Source organism: Homo sapiens, chromosome 5 (assembly GCF_000001405.40).
Source record: "Homo sapiens chromosome 5, GRCh38.p14 Primary Assembly".
Classification (NCBI taxonomy): domain Eukaryota; kingdom Metazoa; phylum Chordata; class Mammalia; order Primates; family Hominidae; genus Homo; species Homo sapiens.
Genome location: NC_000005.10, coordinates 146,674,031 through 146,694,777, shown reverse-complemented (window position 1 = coordinate 146,694,777; position 20,747 = coordinate 146,674,031). Strand labels below are relative to the sequence as shown.

The 20,747-nt window shown below is 41.7% G+C and overlaps 1 protein-coding gene across 10 annotated transcripts in view; it reads left to right on the top strand.

The window, feature by feature from the left end:
- Positions 1–20,747, top strand: part of PPP2R2B (protein phosphatase 2 regulatory subunit Bbeta) — a 500,779-nt gene that overhangs the window by 386,743 nt on the left and 93,289 nt on the right. For all 10 annotated transcript variants that reach the window (NM_001271900.2, NM_181676.3, NM_181674.3 and 7 more), the window contains one exon: positions 3,538–3,650. In NM_001271900.2, coding sequence (NP_001258829.1) covers positions 3,538–3,650 — 113 coding nt within the window. The remainder of the gene's footprint in view (positions 1–3,537; positions 3,651–20,747) is intronic.

The window sequence follows — 20,747 nt, the reverse complement described above, 5'->3', positions numbered from 1 at the left end:
TCTCTATCTAGTGGAATTAAGGGAGTTTTTTTACCTTTATGATTATTTTAATAAACATTCCATGTATCGCTTGTATAATAAAAAGAAGGAAATAAAATGAGAAAATACAAAATCTATATATGCAATATTACAGATTTGTATTCTCCCCCCAAAGTACATAGAAAAAGTACTATAAGGATTTATGCAAAATGTTGACGATGATCGTTCCTGACTGGAGAGGTTGTAGGTGATTTTTATTCTTCATGTTATACCCATGATTTCTCTGTTTCTCTGTATAGCAATTTATCATTCATGATAAGAAAAATATACGATGTTAACTTTGCAAATGGGATGGGATACATTCCAAAGCCACGCAACAAAAAAAATTTGGTATTAAAATTTTGGGGATGTTCTAAGCCACAGCTGATCAAGAGCTAATCACGTGACTATATAAATATGGCCCATGTTCATTTTCTCACCCTAAAAAGCAGTTCGGTATGCAGCAGGATCTCCTTTCGCTCCAGCGCAAGCCAGGGTGACGGCACAATTCAGAGCGCACAAATCATACACTTAGCAGCCTTGCCAGTGTGTCAGACACGAGCAGCCCAAGTGATGCCCAGATACAAGAAAATGGGGCACTTATTTGCTGCTGAAAGCCCACTTCACAATGTGGTTCATTAAGACCTCCAAGAACAAGGCATTTGTTTCTGGCAGCTTCAAGGCGAATGGTACTGTGATCCACATCTCCTGCTTAGAAGATCTGTCCGCCCAAAGGCATGAGAAGTGGGAGGTGGTGGCAAAAAGTCAGGTGAGGAGAAGTGGAGGAATGGAGCAAGGGGCAAAAGAGGAAGGAATTCCCAGAGGGACGGCTTTTCTCCCCTGACAGTGTTACAGATAAGAAATAGGATGTGCTGACATCATTGAGGGTTGAAGCTAAAGCTGTCAGAGCAACATGTTATTATGGCAGAATAGTTGCCCAATTTGCTAATTCTAATAAAAGCTGTCATTTGCGGACCATTATTAGAAGCCTAATACTGTGTTAAACATTCTCCATGCTGTGACTTATTTAATCCTCATCAGAGCCCCATGAGGAAGATACTGTTTCCCCAGTTTACAAATAAAGAAACTGAGGCACCATCTTTCTTTGTAAGATTGAACTATATGGGATATACTCATACTAAATTATTTTTTGCTTATCTGAAATTCAAACTTAACTGGGTGTTCTATATTTTTTTACTTGCTAAATCTGGCAATCCTATTTGTTGCTTAAGAAATACTAGTTGTGGTCGGGTGTGGTGGCTCATGCCTGTAATCCCAGCACTTTGGGAGGCAAAGGTGGGCAGACTGCTTGAGCCTGGGAGTTTGAGATCAGCCTGGGCAACATGAAAAAATCATGTCTCTATAAAAAATAGAAAAATTCTCTGGGCGTGGTGGCATGTGACTATGGTCCTAGCTACTCTGGAGGCTGAGATGAGAGAATCACCTGAGCCCAGGAAGACAAGGCTGCAGTGAACCATGATCTCGCCAATGCACTCCAGCCTAGGTGACAGAGTGAGACTCTATCTCAATTTAAAAAAAGAAGAAGAGAGGAAGGGAAGAAAGGAGAGAGGAAGGGAAGGAAGAAGGGAAGGAAGGAAAGAAAGAAGGAAGGAAAAAAGGGAGGGAGGGAAGGAAGGAGAGAGGGAAGGGAGGAAGGGTTATGTACCTACTGAGTGGGAATCCCCGTCCTTGGACATGTGACTGGCGTCAGAGTGGGGATTGGGCCCAAGGTTGTCTGATTCCAAACCCTACCTTGTGCAAGACAGAGGAAGATACAAAGAAGGCAACCAAGTTCTGCCTTCAAAAAGATATGTTAAAACAAGTATAAAAAATGTACACTGGATCTGATAAGGCAAGCCCACCAAAGCATGTGGCCAGCAGACATGATTTGTTTGCCTGATCTTGTCTCCTTAAATAATTGAATTAGGCCGGGTGTGGTGGCTCCCGCCTGTAATCCCAGCACTTTGGGAGACCGAGGCAGGCGGATCAAGAGGTCAGGAGATCGAGACCATCCTGGCTAACACGGTGAAACCCCGTCTCTACTAGAAATACAAAAAAATTAGCCGGGCGTGGTGGTGGGTGCCTGTAGTCCCACCTACTCAGGAGGCTGAGGTAGGAGAATGTCATGAACCCAGGAGGCAGAGCTTGCAGTGAGCTGAGATTGTGCCACTGCGCTCCAGCCTGGGTGAAAATGCGAGACTCTGTCTCAAAAAAAAAAAAAAAAAAAAAAAATTGAATTAAAAGCCTGCATGTAGGGCACGCCATTCCAGCTCCACAGATCCTTTAGCCCTTTTTACTCATTTCCTTGGCCTGCATGACAGGTGTAGGGATGGGAGTTCTCATGGGAGTTCTGTAGGGATAGGAGTTCTCTGTTTTAATGCTATAGAGAATGCCAGGTGTCATCAAGTTGTAAAAAGTGCTGGGGCAGTACAAAGGTGAGAAAGGTAGTTTCCAGCTGGAGACTCCATAGAGGCAGCAAAAGGAAAGGAACATTTCAGTGTATCTCCTTACCATTTTATTTCCCTGAATATTGCTAGAAATATGTACTATGCAGGTAGATGAGATTTGTTCATTTGCCCTACTAATGTTTATTGAGCAGCTATTGTGTGCCAGGCACTGTTCTGGGTGCTGGTGGTACAGTGATAAACAAGATAGATAGAATCCCTGCCTTCAACAATTTTACACTCTAGTGAAAGAGACAGATAGTTATTTGATAAATAATCAACCAATTGTCAGGTAGTAAAAGGTATCATGAAGAAAAATAAAGCAGGAGAGAGGAGATAGAGAATGGTTCTGAGGACAGCATTTTTAGGTAGGTATTACATAAGCTTCTCTAAGGTTGGGATGCAAGCGCAAGAGGAAAGTAAAGGAGCAAATTATACGAAAAAGAGGGTAAAGGACTTTCCAGACAGAAGACACAGCAAGTGCAAAGGCCCCGAGGCTTAGTGAGCTTAATGTGTACCTGGAGCAGTAGGGAAGCCATGTGTCTGGAGCACAGTGAGTGAGCAGGGAGAGGATGGACAGGGGGGTCAGAAAGGTGGAGAAAGTGGAGAGGGCAGGTCATGAAGGGCCTTTTAGGACATGGTAAGGACAATGTGTTAGTGAGGTGAGATGCTAAAATAGAGATAATAGCACCTACTTCCAGAGTTATGACTGTTAAACCAATTTTTCATGTAAAATTCTTAGTTACATTGTAAGCTCTGTGTATGTTGCACTCTTATTATTCAATGCTCAATAAATGCTTTTATTGAATGAGCTGAATTAAGGTATAAGCTATAGATTTAAGAGCCCATTATCAGGGAAATCCATTTGTCCCAGCATAATGTATGTTTTTGTTTTGAAATATGAGCTCTGCCTTCAAATGACATGGGATTTATGCACGCCAAACGTTTATGTGAGCCAGCTTCTGTAGCAATTCTATCCATCCTTACCTCTTCCTCTCCCCATTGCCCCCAGGAAAACTCCCTTATGAGCTTGCTTTTCACTATAATTCTGACTTAATCTGGTTGCCCACTACAGATAAAACTGTGAAGCTGTGGAAAGTCAGCGAGCGTGATAAGAGGCCAGAAGGCTACAATCTGAAAGATGAGGAGGGCCGGCTCCGGGATCCTGCCACCATCACAACCCTGCGGGTGAGTGCAAACAGCTGCCCTGGCCACCACAGTCAGGGGCAGGTCTCCTAAGGTTGGCCATGTGCTGGTTGTTACTGTAGGTTGCAACTATAATGGGCCAGTGAGGGAACGTAGGCAGAGACTCAGCCTACCCCAGTCTCTCTCTGGTGGCAGATGGAGAAGCAGGAAAGGTGCCAAGCCTTCTAATGACTACAAATCCATGCTTTTCCTTTTGTCCCAGAAGACTTGCCCACATGGCCACTGCCAGACGTTACTATAATCTTAGCCTCTGTTGTTCACGTTATCTAAAATGTCTTGAGCACCTTCTGTACTGAAGGTACAGGGATGAGAATCCAGATGGCGAGTTGCAGTCTTGTGATTCAGAACACAAACTTAATAATCTAACAGACCTGGCTTCAAATTCTGCCACTTACCCAAATTTCCCAATAGTCATTTAACCTTTTCGAGCTTTCAACATGCAAGTTAATTTTAATTTCTCCATCTGCAAAACAGTGAACACAGTACGTACTGCTCGTGGACTTATGAGGAAGAAGTGCAAGGATGGAAAACCCTTCCTCTATGGCTGGTCCTCAATATATGATCTCTACTCAGTCTGAGTGGCTTCCTTCCTGTTCCTCAGAAATACATAGCCTGATAAAGAGGATTTGTAAGACTAATATACAAATGATTATGGCACTAAATATAGTAAGATAAATGCATTGAGAAAGTGTTGGAGAGTTGCAATTTGATAAAAGGAGGAAAAAATTAGCTGTGGTTTTTGGAGACCAGAAAAGTTCTCATAGGAAAGTGGCATTAAAAACGGATTTCTCAAAGCGATCTTTTAAGGGAAGGGTCTCTAGATGTAAGGTAAAGTGGTTTAGGACTGGATGATGAGCTCAGTTATGAACATGTTCAATGTGAGCAGTAAAGCAGGCACATGTTGGGATAGCCCTAGCCCCAACAGCCTTGTAAAACTGTGTAAAATATGTGATTTCAGACACCAGCAGCTCTGCTAAAGACCAAAAGTAAGAAGGGAGACAGTGAAGTAGATGTGAGGAAAATAGGTTCTTGCCCTATGTTTGAAAGCCAAAATGGGATGGTCATTGTATGCTTAATTAGCTCACTTGTTTATTTGTTTAATAATTCATTTATTGATACATCTGCTTATTCAGCAGTTACTTTTTGAATATAGACTCTGTGCTGACCACCATGCTAGACTATTAGGTGTTTACCCTGTCCTAATGGGCACATGGTCTTCAGTTGAGCTGCTTCTGAGCTCACAAGCATTGGCGACTCTGTTTCCTCTGATCAGCCTATGCTTTCAGCTCTGGAGAACCTCCATGTAAGTCCACCTTATCATTCTGGGTGGACTTGGCATAAATCCAGGCTTGATGCTCTGAATGTGCAGGGGTTTTGGAGGCTGGAAAGTAGCGTAGTGAAGAGTATTATTGTTGAGTCAGTCCAGCCTGGGTTAGAATTCTGGCTCCGTTACTTTCCGCTAGTGACCTTGGGCATATGACAGTCATATATCACTTAATGATGGGAATATATTCTGAGAAATGCATCATTGGGTGACTTCATTGTTGTGAAAACATCATAGAGTATACTTATGCAAACCTAGATGGTATAGCCTACTATATACCTAGACTACATTGCCTGTTGGTCCTCGGCTACAAACCTGTACGCCTGTTCCTGTGTTGAATAGTAAGCAATTATAACACAATGGTATTTGTGTATATAAACATATCTAAGCATAGAAAAGACACAGTACAAATACAGTATTATAATCTTATGGAACCAGTGTTATTGACCAAAACATCATGTGGCATGTGGCTATATTTGAATACCTTGTGCCTCCAATGTCTCATCTATATAACGGGGATGATGATAGTCACTGCTTCCTGGAATTGTTGTGAGGATTCAATAAGTTATTTTGTGTAAGAAACAGCTTAGCCTGTGTAGTGCTGGCTCACAAAAAGCACTCAATGATGTTAGTTCCCTTCTGTTGTTTTAGTATTAATAACATCATCGTCATCATGGCTATTATTACCCCCTACTGATAGTGGGCCTATATATATGAGACAATTCAGTTATTTTTCTTTTTATACTTTTTATACTGTTGTATTTATTCTACAAACTACTCACTGAGATTTACTAAGTGGCAAACACCGTACTGGCAATATATTGGGAATAAGACTGTCTTTTGCCCCTCGAGACATGGCAATCTTATGGAGAAAACAACTGGATTAAGTGCCACGTAGAGTTTATACCGTGAACTTCTGCCCAGACTTTACCTTGCCCTTGTTTGCTATGTGGATGGAATTTCTCAGATGACATCTGTAGACCCCACCGTGGAATCCTACTGTCCATGGCATCCTATGGGATTTCATATATCTGTGCTTAACCCCTGGGAGAATTCCATCCCTATGATAAAGAGCAAAGAAGGTCTATTCAGTTTCCACGAGAGCAGAGATCCTCCCCATGCCAAGCCAGTGATGCCAATGAAGTGGACTTCAGATGAAACAGAGAAGGAGGCCCTGAGGTGTGGCTGGGAGTTGGAAAATTCCAACTCTGGTTCTTGCTTTCTTACTAACCAGCTGTGTAACCTAACAACCTAACTGATGAATTATACTTCTTCCCTCCAAGCTTAGTTTCTAAGCTGCCAAGCAGAGGACTGGGAAATGTAAATTCCTGAGACCCACTCCAGAGAGGAGGCCCAGAGGAATCTGCATTTTCAACACTTGACCCTGGTGGCTGAGACAAGGGGGTCTGCGGTCACTGGACTCTATCATCCCTAAGGCCCATTCGAGCTATCATTTTTTTTTTCAAGCTATCATTTTTATGAACCTGTTATTTTTTGGAGAGACATGTTATATTTGCTATATAACCTCTGTTATATTTTGGAGGGACATGTTATATTTGCTATATAATTATAAATACCAGTATCTGTATTTACCTCCTCTCCTTTCCTAGGCTCTCAAATATCCTGCATTTCAGTGTAAACATCCACACCACAGCACTCTTTAAACACTGAAAAGTCCAGCTTCCTTTTCTTTTTGATCCCAGTGGTAGAAGAAAAAAAAAGCAGGCAACCCTGAAGACTAGATTCAGAACAATGACTCCAAACAGAGAATGAGCTGACGTGATATTAATCAGACTATAATTTACTAACACGCTCTCCTCTTGAAATGTGCATTGCCAGCAATTGTGTCTTTTTTTCCCTTCCCTGTACTATGATTACTTCTTGCTCACTTTCATAGTTTCCAGTTCTATGTGGGTATTGAGAGTGAGAACATTTAATAATACCCGACAGCTAATTAATCCTTACTGTGTAATGAACCTGTTCTGTTTCAGCGCTGAGAGACTCAGCTTTTCAAAGCAAGAATGTGACTATATCTTTCATAGAAGATAGCCTTTCAAAATCAATCTCATTACCAAAAGAGCCCATGAGAAGCATGTCTATGAAAACTATATCCCCTGCTCAATATCATAACTTAACATAAAGCAATAATCATGGTAATAATTTAATAATAATGCCTTACAGTTGTACCATTTCTATTACAAGCGTTTTCTCACCTAGTCCCTTGATTCATCTTCAGAATAGCCAATGAGGAGGGCAGGACAGGTATTTAGCAGGTGAAAATGCGGGTATCTAGCACTTATTGATCATTTGCCATATACCATGCACCACGCTGCACTCTCTATCTGCACTAGCTACCTCAAAGGGTGTTAAAATGCCCATTTAACAAATGAGGCTCCAAGCAGTTAAGTAGAATACCCAAGATCATGCAGGGCTGAGAACCAAGCTTTGATCTACTTTGCTCTGGGACCTGAGCCCTTCGATCCGATGCAGCCTCAGAGAGGGAAAATGACTTACCCAGTATCCCTCAACTGGTTATTCCAGGACTGGGACTAAAAATCAAGAGTTAGGCTCTTAAACTTAGACATATACATCTGGGCATTTGAAATGTTTGTCTTAATAATTAGTGCCATTATTATTCCAGGTGAGGGGATTAATCGATCAATCGCTCCCTCTCTCTCCCTCTCCCTCTCTTCCTCTCCCTCTCTCTCCCTCCCCCCACCACTCCCCGCTACCACTGTCCCTGCCACACACACACACACATACACACACACTTACACATTGACTTTCCAGATCTCTGACCTCAGCAATGGAGAAACAAAGGCCTTGAGGTCCCTATGCAGTTTTACTTCAGAAGACCCTCCATGCCCTTCTTCCCCAACCTCCCGCTGCCCAGGAGTAACAGACCCTTAGAGCTCTTTCTAGGTAATGGGAGCTCATCGTTAAAGTGACTTAATCAGCCTGAAATGGAAGTTGGGTGGTGAGAAATCACACTTAGCATACTTCTCCCTGCAGGGTAAGCCTGGAGGTATTCTTTTTCTCATTATTATCAGCTGCCAGTGCCCTGGGAACCTAGGCCAGGTTGAAATCGGCATTTTTACCTGTTACAAATATGAGCTCCCAAGCTGTGACTGGTCATAACCTTCCCAAAATGAAGGTGATGTGATGAATACAATTTTTCGAATGGATTTTATTCAAACATGCCTTACAACAAATAAAAATAATTATAGCAACCATCTATTGAGTGCTTACTATGTGCCAGGTACTAGATTTTATATCCTTAATATCACATAGTCCTCATAATATCTCTCTCGGTTAGGTTCTATTTTTCTCTCCAGATCATCTGAAGCCATAGCCTCCTCTTCATTTCAGTCTCTGCTCAAGTGCTACCTATCAGGCCCTCCTAGGGTATCCTATGGAAAAGAGCACACCCACATTTCCCATTCATTCTCTCTGCCCTTTTTTGCTTAGCTCTTGTCACTGTCTAGCATTTTCTTCGCTGTCTGCCTCCTCTTCACCCCCAGTAAACTGTAAGCTCCATGAAAGCAGGGACTCTGTTTTGTTCTCTCCTGCAACTCCGGCACCTGGAACAATCCATGGCACATGGTAGACTTTCAGTAAATATCTGTCAAGTGAACAGATTACACAGAAATGGAAACCGTGTTTTAGAGTAGCCAAGAAGTTTGCCCAAAATCTCATGGCTAGAAAACGGAAGAGCTGGAATTCAAACCTAGTCCGCATGACTCCAAATCTGATGTTTTTCATCTTATTCTCTACAGCTCTGCTTTTTAAGAAAATATTCCTGACCATGGGGCAGGAATGTTTTATTATTGATTGATGTCTCTCAGAACGTTTTATCAAAGCTCTCTTAACATACAAGCTAGATTTTGGTGGGGTGGAAGGCGGGGGGTGAGGGCTGCAGAGCCTTTTCTGCCACAGGGTGGGTACACAAGGGATGCACTGATTTTTAAAGGAAAGATCAAATGACATCATATTTTACACAATGGCTGTTTCTGTCCTCCTGTCAGCACAGGACACTCACAGTCTCATGAATCTCCAGAACTAAACTTTTTCCACTTAAAATGACCCTGATGTTAGCAAATCCCATTGGTGGCAATTTGGACACAACCATAGGTACCGTCTAAGACACTGGCCAACTGGCATTCAGTTTTACCAGCTCTGACTCCTGAATGAGGACTTCCTGAGGACCATTGCTAAAAGGTCATGAGATTAGGCAAGTTGACTGAAAAGACTAGCTAGTTTTCCCAAAAGAGAGATCCTCTGAGTGAAACAGTTTACTTGATTTGTCTCCTAGAGAACTGATTAAACAGACTATTGGTTTAGGCTTACTAATAGTAGCAACTGTGCATATTCAGCCTTTCTTAGTGACAGGCTTGGGGCGCAGTTGTTTGATGTCCTTTCTTTATCATCATTCTGTGACTTAGGCATCCTGCCCATTTTAGAGATGTATAAACAGAGGCTCAGAAAGGTAAGTACTGGCTTAAGGCCTTGCAAATAGTAAACAGCAAAGCCAAGAATGGAGTCCAGAGCTCCAGAGTCTGTCTGACTCCAGAGCTCCTGTTCCTCACTATTATTAGGACTATTTATGGCATGGCACTTGATTTAAACAACAGTGAGGATGACAACATCTGATGTACAGGACTTTTCCATGTATTTTGTATCTCAGTGTCTACTATGCTACACACTGTACTAAGCATGCACTACAAAGTGTGGCTCTTACAAAGATGAATGAAACACACTCTCTGTCCTTAGGGGGCATGGAGGAGACAAGTTACAAGTGGCTGAAACATAAAATGAATTCAATCATTGGTTCTTAAATGACTGTGTGCCTCATGGTCACCGGGGACTCTGCCTAGAACATAATTTCTGGCCTCGTCACTAGGGATGCTGGTTTAGAAGGTTTGAGTTGGACTCTAAGAAATGACATCTTTGACAAGGCCCCTCCCAGAAAATGCCCAGGTGATTCTGGTGCAGGTGGTCCCTGGACCACACTTTGAGAAATCATGGAGAAGGATAACTGTCCTGAGAAAAGCACAGAAGATAACCATGGCAGTTCAGAAGAAGCACAAAGGGAGGAGACGGGATTAGGAAGGAGTTTCCACGATGCATCTGGAGGGTAGATGGGCTTTCATGTTGGGCATCTCATTTGATGCTCCCAAGGATCCTTTGAGGCATACAGGATGTGCATTGCCATTTCTTTCTTTCTAGTGGTGTGGATGTGATTATCCCATTTATAAAAGAGGGTAACTGGCTCTGAGGGGCCAGGTATCTAATCAGGATCACACAGCTAGAAAGAGGCAGAACTGGGAATGAAGCACGTTCTGTCTGTCTATAGCCTTTAGGCTTTCTTGCTCCCTCTGAGGTACCTATGTCGTAATACTCATTCTGGGAGGAGGGGGAACCCCAGGCCAGATTTAGTGCAAATTATTGGTTGAGTCAGGATCAGCCTTTACTGCCCCAGGTTTTAATTTTCGGTATATGCTTTGATAACTGAGGCCTCTTAGGACATAGATACAGCCTTCCTCTACCATTTTTAATTTTTTTAGACTTCATTTTGTGATTTATTGCTGCTCTGGGGGCTTCACATCCAATCCTTTTATGGTTTCATCTTTCCTTTCCTTACATTTGTTGCATATAACAATGGCGTGTTTAGCTACTGCAGTGAAAAATCAATCAAGCCTATTCCATATTCACAGGCTTGCAATGGCACCAACGGCTCCTGGATTAGATTAACTTTGTGAATGTGTCATTCTAGTATGGGTAATTTCTCAACCTTCGCTCTATCCTCCCCATCCTGCCTCGGCGGGTGGATATTGAGATCTCTCATTGATTGACTGCCCTGAAAGTGAATGCTGGCATGTGATGTGTGTAACTCAGTGGGATGCACATACTCTGTGTTTATGAAAATAAATAATAATTTCTGTTATCATTATTGATTGCCATCATTATCTGATTGTATCTGTCAGTGTCATGGGGTTTCAGTTATGGGATCAGAAAGCCCTCCACGAGAATTTAACCACTACCCTCACTGACAAGCCTTTGTGTTTTGACATGTTTCGCCTTTGGGGGATGAGAGTTTGGGATGTTTCTGTTCTGCTCATTGGCTAATATTTTTGGCTAATGTTCAGAGACATGATGATAATTGAGTTCCATGTCAGCCAAAGGAACTACTTCAGTTGGAATTAAAAGAGAAGCTAACATTTATGCTAATGTTCCAAGAACATTTTGCATGCATTGGCTAATTTAATCTTCAAGATAAACCTATAACATAGGCACTGATATTATCCTTATTGTAGAGATGTGATAGCTGAAGCCAGGGAAGTTAAGGAACTTGCCTTAGGTTAGACGGCTAGTAAGTGGTAATGCTTGGACTTGAGTGCACGTCTTTATGACTCTAAAACCCAAGCTGCTGTCCTGCCTCTTGTACTAAAATAGAATGCCTAATATATGCATCTGAATATTCAGTGTAAGCCAAAACACATATGAGTAAGCAGGGGCTGGAAAACAACTTTTCAAGGAGATTGTAAAAGTTACTGGTGCCTTGGGCACAGGTGGGCTTTCTGTTTAATTTTGGGAAAAGGCGGGGTAGGAAGGGTACATGAAACTAGGTCATGGCTTACCAAAGCTGGATGATCATCAGACTCTGGGAACATCTAAGTCATCTCCAACCAAGTGACTCAGAATCTCCAGGAGTGTGGCCAAGACACCCACCCGTATTTCTCGGCCATATTCTTGGCCATCCTGAAGATCAGATGGGTTTGAGACCCTTTGGCATAATGATCTCTCTACTCAAAAGTAGAGATTCTCAGATTTGATTTTTAAAATCCCTTCCTTTTTCCTCTTGTCTCCTCCTGCCTCAAGGTTCTGTATAGATCAGTCTGAGGACAACATTATTATCAAAATGTGGTTGCCTTTACACTAAGAGAGTGATTTGATTTAGAATGAGCATCCATGATGATTCTGTGATTGTGAGCTGTTAGTGCCTTTTATAACTCAACTTCTTTCCCCTTCTTACTCCTGGTCAAGTCATGGGGGACAGCCTACTTAGTTGCCAGTGTGCTATAATAGTAACACTATTGCAGACATTTATTAAGTATGTATTATGTGCCAGGCCTTCTGCTAGGCAGGTACCATCTCACTATGCCCAGACGGCAGCCTGTGGAGTGGGTACTACTGTTATTCCCATTTTGCAGATGAGGACATTTGATCTAGAGAGCTATAGTGACATGCTCATGTCTATAGCTACTAAGTGGCACAGCCATATTTTTAAACCAGGTTCAAGCTGACTCCAGAATAATAACTATACTTTCTTACAGAGGTTGGGCTGATAAAGTCACTTGTTGAAGTGTTTAGCATAATATCTTGCCATCAATAGACGCTTAGTTTATGTTAATCCCTTTCTCCTCTTTTTTCCCATCTTGTCTTTTACCTAGAGACTAGGAGTTTCAGGAAAGCATGATGAATATATTGAAAAGTTCGAAGTAGTATTACATCTAGAGACTAGCAATTCATTATGCTTTGAATCTGCCTTTGTACTGACTCTCCTACGCTGCCTTGCATTCAGAGTGTATTCACTGACAATAAAATATTTTCTTTCATCCCAAAGGTACCTTTGTTATGCTGCACTTACCATGTAGTAATTAGATCCAACATAGACGTAAATATAAGCAGAACCCTATACCTGGTTTAGGATCGAGTTCTCTTTGTCTTTTGCTCCCAAACCCTTTGGAAGGTGTCCATGGCTTCTTGAATGTGATAGGAACTAATAAAGGACACCTCCCATATGTACACTCAATGGCAGTGGCAAGCTGAGACGTCCACTAGTGTCAGAAAAAGAAAAGAATCACATTACAGAAGAAAATCTGGATGTTTCCATGGCCTCTGGTGCCATTTATCTTGAGATTCCCTGGCCATAAAGCCTGATAGTGTTACAGGCTCTGACACATTGTCTTTCCCTAACCTTGGTTGTTAAATGGTCTGAATTTCAGAGATGTGGGAAGGTTGACAGGGCAGAGTTCTGGCCTTTTTAGGGCTTTGCAAGTAAGGATCTTGTCACCATTCCAAACCTGATTCACACTGACCCAGATAGGATTTTCTCAAATGAGAAGTTATTAGAGTGATTCTCCCATCTTTTCATTTAAAGGGCTCTCTGTATACTTTTCAAAGGAAGTGAAAAATCAAGGATAATTGGATGATTGAAGGAGAGAATACTTTTATTTTCTGAATTTTTCAGATGAAATTATCTGAATTATAAGCGTAATGGGAAAGACATTCAGCCCACACCAGGTCCCATTTCTGAAGTGTGAGCTCACTGTTGCTAGAGCAATGGGTGTGTCTCCGGTCCCCGAAACTACACGTGCATGTGTGGGTGCGTGCAGGCATGTACATGGCATACAACACCCAAGCAGGGCATTGCTCAAGAATCCTAAAAATGTTAACAAAGTAAAGAGCTGACTTTTATTTATTTTTCAACTAGACTTTACTAATAGAAGATCAAAAATACATGCCTAGATCCCTTTTTGCTACTAGGTTATGCAAAGAACTAATTTGAAATCAGTAGAGGACTTCTAGGGCCTCTGCTCATTATGCATTAGGATTTTTGTAGAAAATAATTAGTGCAAATGGATTTGGAATCCAACTCAATAGAGGACATGATCACTTTGATCCTAGTACGTTGCAAGCCGGGCTTCGACTGATGCATTGATGTAAGCATTTTAAATACCAGTCCTTACCAGAGAAAAATATTTTAAATATTTCCCTAGGGGTAGTGTGCATAGCAAGATACTATCTTGTCTTTGACGCATAAAAACAAGATCTTGGTTGGAGAAAACTACTTACAAGGGTGGTTTCATGTTAAAGGAGACTGTTTTCAACAGAAAAATATATTTTATTCTCTGGTTTCCTTAGAATGGTTTAGCAACAAGGAAAGGAATTTTCTACCTGAAAGGTGTTAGGTTTGTGTTTGTTTGGGTGGAAGAAGGTGGGTCATGCTCTTGTAATTTGTTGTTGTGATCAGATGAGTTTATTTTCTTTTTACCAGAAAACTGTTAAAAGCAGTGGTACACACATGCATACACACACTGTCTCACACAAATGTCTCTGGCTCAAGTAATATAGGAAACCCTAGCTTAAACACAGTTAAGCAAATTTATTTACTTCAGGATTTCTGGGAACTTTTTTTTTTTAAGTGTGTGCAACGCTGTGGTTTTTTTTATTATTATTATTATACTTTAAGTTTTAGGGTACATGTGCACATTGTGCAGGTTAGTCACATATGTATACATGTGCCATGCTGGTGCGCTGCACCCACTAACTCGTCATCTAGCATTAGGTATATCTCCCAATGCTATCCCTCCCTCCCCACCCCACCCCACAACAGTCCCCAGAGTGTGATATTCCCCTTCCTGTGTCCACGTGATCTCATTGTCCAATTCCCACCTATGAGTGAGAATATGCGGTGTTTGGTTTTTTGTTCTTGCGATAGTTTACTGAGAATGATGATTTCCAATTTCATCCATGTCCCTACAAAGGACATGAACTCATCATTTTTTATGGCTGCATAGTATTCCATGGTGTATATGTGCCACATTTTCTTAATCCAGTCTATCATTGTTGGACATTTGGGTTGGTTCCAAGTCTTTGCTATCGTGAATAATGCCACAATAAACATAAGTGTGCATGTGTCTTTATAGCAGCATGATTTATAGTCCTTTGGGTATATACCCAGTAATGGGATGGCTGGGTCAAATGGGATTTCTAGTTCTAGATCCCTGAGGAATCGCCACACTGACTTCCACAATGGTTGAACTAGTTTACAGTCCCACCAACAGTGTAAAAGTGTTCCTATTTCTCCACATCCTCTCCAGCACCTGTTGTTTCCTGACTTTTTAATGATTGCCATTCTAACTGGTGTGAGATGGTATCTCATTGTGGTTTTGATTTGCATTTCTCTGATGGCCAGTGATGATGAGCATTTTTTCATGTGTTTTTTGGCTGCATAAATGTCTTCTTTTGAGAAGTGTCTGTTCATGTCCTTCGCCCACTTTTTGATGGGGTTGTTTGTTTTTTTCTTGTAAATTTGTTTGAGTTCATTGTAGATTCTGGATATTAGCCCTTTGTCAGATGAGTAGGTTGCGAAAATTTTCTCCCATTTTGTAGGTTGCCTGTTCACTCTGATGGTAGTTTCTTTTGCTGTGCAGAAGCTCTTTAGTTTAATTAGATCCCATTTGTCAATTTTGGCTTTTGTTGCCATTGCTTTTGGTGTTTTAGACATGAAGTCCTTGCCCATGCCTATGTCCTGAATGGTAATGCCTAGGTTTTCTTCTAGGGTTTTTATGGTTTTAGGTCTAACGTTTAAGTCTTTAATCCATCTTGAATTGATTTTTGTATAAGGTGTAAGGAAGGGATCCAGTTTCAGCTTTCTGCATATGGCTAGCCAGTTTTCCCAGCACCATTTATTAAATAGGGAATCCTTTCCCCATTGCTTGTTTTTCTCAGGTTTGTCAAAGATCAGATAGTTGTAGATATGCAGCGTTATTTCTGAGGGCTCTGTTCTGTTCCATTGATCTATATCTCTGTTTTGGTACCAGTACCATGCTGTTTTGGTTACTGTAGCCTTGTAGTATAGTTTGAAGTCAGGTAGCATGATGCCTCCAGCTTTGTTCTTTTGGCTTAGGATTGACTTGGCGATGCGGGCTCTTTTTTGGTTCCATATGAACTTTAAAGTAGTTTTTTCCAATTCTGTGAAGAAAGGCATTGGTAGCTTGATGGGGATGGCATTGAATCTGTAAATTACCTTGGGCAGTATGGCCATTTTCACGATATTGATTCTTCCTACCCATGAGCATGGAATGTTCTTCCATTTGTTTGTATCCTCTTTTATTTCCTTGAGCAGTGGTTTGTAGTTCTCCTTCAAGAGGTCCTTCACATCCCTTGTAAGTTGGATTCCTAGGTATTTTATTCTCTTTGAAGCAATTGTGAATGGGAGTTCACTCATGATTTGGCTCTCTGTTTGTCTGTTGTTGGTGTATAAGAATGCTTGTGATTTTTGTACATTGATTTTGTGTCCTGAAACTTTGCTGAAGTTGCTTATCAGCTTAAGGAGATTTTGGGCTGAGACAATGGGGTTTTCTAGATATACAATCATGTCATCTGCAAACAGGGACAATTTGACTTCCTCTTTTCCTAATTGAATACCCTTTATTTCCTTCTCCTGCCTAATTGCCCTGGCCAGAACTTCCAACACTATGTTGAATAGGAGTGGTGAGAGAGGGCATCCCTGTCTTGTGCCAGTTTCCAAAGGGAATGCTTCCAGTTTTTGCCCATTCAGTATGATATTGGCTGTGGGTTTGTCATAGATAGCTCTTATTATTTTGAAATACGTCCCATCAATACCTAATTTATTGAGAGTTTTTAGCATGAAGTGTTGTTGAATTTTGTCAAAGGCTTTTTCTGCATCTATTGAGATAAGCATGTGGTTTTTGTCTTTGGCTCTGTTTATATGCTGGATTACATTTATTGATTTGCGTATATTGAGCCAGCCTTGCATCCCAGGGATGAAGCCCACTTGATCATGGTGGATAAGCTTTTTGAGGTGCTGCTGGATTCGTTTTGCCAGTATTTTATTGAGGATTTTTGCATCAATGTTCTCTTAACCACCATGTTACCTGGCCTCCCAACAGCAATGGCTTTTAACCCTCTGAGCCATGGGGGCTTTATCCTACTTTAGAGACTTCTTGAAGCAGAAAAGAACCATTAGCCAATCCAAAACAAATCACTGTTCACAAATGTTTCCTTCTGTCTAACCTAACATTAATCTTACCTGCCACTTATTTAAAAAGGATTCCATACATATAGTCATGATGGACATGTATGGTCTCTGCTCTCATGGGGCTTGTAATCCAGTGACTAGGAATCTTTGGTTTGAAAATAGTCACAGCGGGCCAGGAGTGGTGGTACACGCCTGTAATCCCAGCACTTTGGGAGGCTGGGGTGGGTGGATCGCTTGAGCTCAGGAGTTCAAGACTAGCCTGGGCAACATGGTGAAACCCTAGCTCTACAAAAAATACAATAGTTAGCCAGGCATGGTGGTGCACACTTGCAGTCCCAACTACTTGAGAGGCTACAGTGGGAGAACTACTTGAGCCTGGTGCAGTGAGCCGAGATCAGGCCACTGCACTCCAGCCTGAGTGACAGAGTGAGACCCTGTCTCAGACAGAGGGAGGGAGGGAGGGAGGGAGGGAGGGAGGGATGAGTTTTTTAAAAAGTATAAGATCATAGCATGATACCATTAATGTGAAAAATAAAGCAATCCTGAACCGCAAACAAACAAACAAAAAAAAATGGTGACGGCATGTACTTCATTTGCCCCTGCCTAACATTACAGTCAATCCCATTGTGTATTTAGAAACTGCCTGAGTTCTTTCTCAACATTTTCTTCTCTACTCTGTGATCTCACTTCCTCTCATTATTTTCAGGGAGTGAGAGTTCTGCAACATTCAATTAAATAAGGACACTGACTATTTAATGCGAAAACATCCAGATACAAAGCGAAAACTCTGTCCAATTATCTTGCCAGTTCAAAACCAAATATACAGATGTTTAGAAACTTCTGAAAGCTTGAATTTTTAAATCATAGGCTCTCCAAATTCAAAGAGCATCTAAGAAAAGCATCCTATGAGGGAAACATAAGATCGTCAAAGCAGACAAAGCAGACAACAAAGATAGGAGTTCAGGAGTTATAAGGTTAGAGATTAAGATAGAAGTGACAAAACAAAGCCACACTTGGTTATCATTATTCCTTCCCATACTAAAATCCTTTACGCAGATGGACTCAGAGGTGACCGCCACACCAGTCCCAATTAGATATGCCGTTGCACTACTTGACGGTCAAACCAATTAAGAACATAAGCACCACCTCGGTTTCTTGCTATGCATTTTAAAAACTAATTCCACAAGCACTTATTAAGTCCCTACTGTAAGCCAGGTACTATGATTAGTCCTGGAGTTATAGAAGTGAACATGAAAGATATGGTTCCTGCCTTCATGGAGCTAGCCATCTCTTTGGGTTGGAAAAAGCATGCATAAAATGCTCCTAATGTAAAGCCGACAGTGTAATGGGGCCTCTAGAGGAAAGGTGAATGGTGTACAGGAGAGCAGATGATGGGGAGAATTTGATCTTTTCAGGGAGAGCAGAGGATAATTTCCTGAGCAATTAATATTTAAACCACAGCAGGAGGAAAGTAAGAAGAGGAGCAGAAAGAATGTTCTAGGCAGAGGCGGTGACATGCACAAAGCCCATCAGGTAGGAGGTAGCACAGAAAAACACAGTGTGGAAGGAGGGCCCAGGTGGCTGAAGCTGAGTGCAGGGGATGTGTGGTACCAGTAAGATGCAGGTGGTGAGGCAGCTTATGGCCAGATCATGCTGGGCACCATAGGTCTTGTTAAGGAACTCGCTTTTTTCCCCATGAGCAATGCAAGCCCTCGCTTCTCTGTACAGGTCATTTTTTGGAACAGCCCTACTTTGCCCAGATAGCTAAATGTTCTGCACTGAAGACAGGATGTTCACCAACATGGAAAAGCCGCCTAGATAGTTCCTGGCAGAAGAGTTTAAATTTAGGAAGTAAATGACATTTTGTCAGTTTGGCCATGTTGCCCTCTAGCCCCCAGCTGCCATTGTTTCAATACATGTCAGGGCATGGCCTCCACCGGGTTTCTCCAATATCAAGGCGTCCTCCCTCCAAGGTGAATCCGCCCATGAGTGATTGAATTGTTTGGAGGGTCATAGAACCTGACAGCTCCCTATTACACAAAGGAAAAGATAAGCTTCCGATTAGTCCTGGGGCAGGAGGAAGCCAAGATAGAGTGCACCTGTCAGAACTGCTTACGACATATAAATCATTACCTCAATTTTCTGTGCAAGCAGTGGGCCAGAGAGAGAGAGAGAGAAGTGACTGAGGTTGGTTAACAGTGCAGAACCATAAAAAAGAGCTGCTGCTTTCCTCCAAAGCAGGATTTCCTCTGCTGTCCATGCAAAGAAAACTGAGCCCCATGCCCAGAGGAACGACAAAGACAAATGCCCACTGGCTCCAGAAAGGGGCAATTTGTTTCTATGGCATTTGCTAACAGCATTTACTGCTAATCTAACAATAGCAGCCACCAAGGCTTTCCCAGACTTTAACAGGGAGCATGCTTAATATTGCACTTGCTATATGTTTCATCCTAGATTTCTCTACCTTGTAATTGCCATAACAATCATGGTTGTTATTGTTGCCATTTTCCTTTCATTCACTGGGCAAAAATCTCTGAGACAGACCAATTGCAACTAACCTGCTATCCCACAGTCCAGGATACCAGGGTATTTATAGCGGGGTGAGGGGGAACATAAAAACAAAGATTGAATGAAAGATAGCAAGTCAGAAGATGCTCAATAAAGATTCAAAAGCTTAAGTTGTTTGGGCAATACTCAGATTTTCATCACAATTTATGTTGTATAAAATACCAAGTATCGGCGGGGTGCAGTGGCTCACACCTGTAATCACAGCACTTTAGGAGGCTGAGGCGGGTGGATCACGAGGTCAGGAGATTGAAACCATCCTGGCCAACATGGTGAAATCCCGTCTCTACTAAAAATACAAAAATTAGCTGGGTGTGGTGGCGCATGCCTGTAATCCCAGCTACTTGGAGGCTGAGGTGCGAGAATCACTTGAACCCAGGAGGTGGAGGTTGCAGTGAGCTGAGATCGTGCCACTGAACTCCAGCCTGGCAACAGAGCGAGACTCCATCTCTAATAATAATAACAATAATAATAATATAATACCACCAAGTATCTAGCTGAATGTGAAAGCCTGAAAGATCCTAGTTGGAGAAGCGCCAACACTGAGTAACTACTAACTTGTACAGCAAAGCTCAAGAAATACTAAGTCTTGTGCTTCTTCTGGGCTACTCTAAACAGAGTGGATAACACTTTGGGGGAGACTGGTTCATTCTTCAGAATAGATGTAAACTAAGTTCCCAGAACTTTTGAGAGGGAGTTTGGCACCTACATTGAAAGGGAGCCACATGTTTGTCCAGCCCAGATATTCCTGCTGCCAATGATGGAGGAGACATTTTATTCCACCTTGGTGTATTTTAAAGGGAAGCATATTCTCAAAATTACAACACAACCCAAGATGTATGAGCTGTCAATTACATTCCTTAGGACCAGAAGGGAAATATATGAACAGACCCAAAAAGTGCATCAAGACAGTACACAAAGGGATGTAGGAGCTGAGGGAATGAGTCACATGGATACTTTAAAACAGAATAATTGTTTGTTCAAAATTGTGAGCAAAATGTTCTTACTGCCAGGAGAAGTGTTGGGCAGACTTATTTCTACTTATTGTGTAATAGGGGCAGAAATCCCATAGTTGAAATCGTCATGGGAGAGAGTCTAGGGCTTTAGAGTGACAACTCCAGGTTCATATCCTAGCTCTGTCTTTGTATGACTCTGAGCCTTTTACTTAAGCTCTCACCATATCAGTTTTATCATCAACAAAGTAGGGATAATATTATTTAAAGTATCTCATAGGACTTGTTATCAGAAAAAAATATTAGCACAGTATCTGGCTTTTAGTACTAACCATTCAATAATATGTAGCTAGCTCCAAGATGGAAATCAGGAATGCTCAGAACAGAGAGATAACTGGGAGACTCCAGTTGCTACTTTTGGATGGAAGAATACATTTATAAAAGGACAG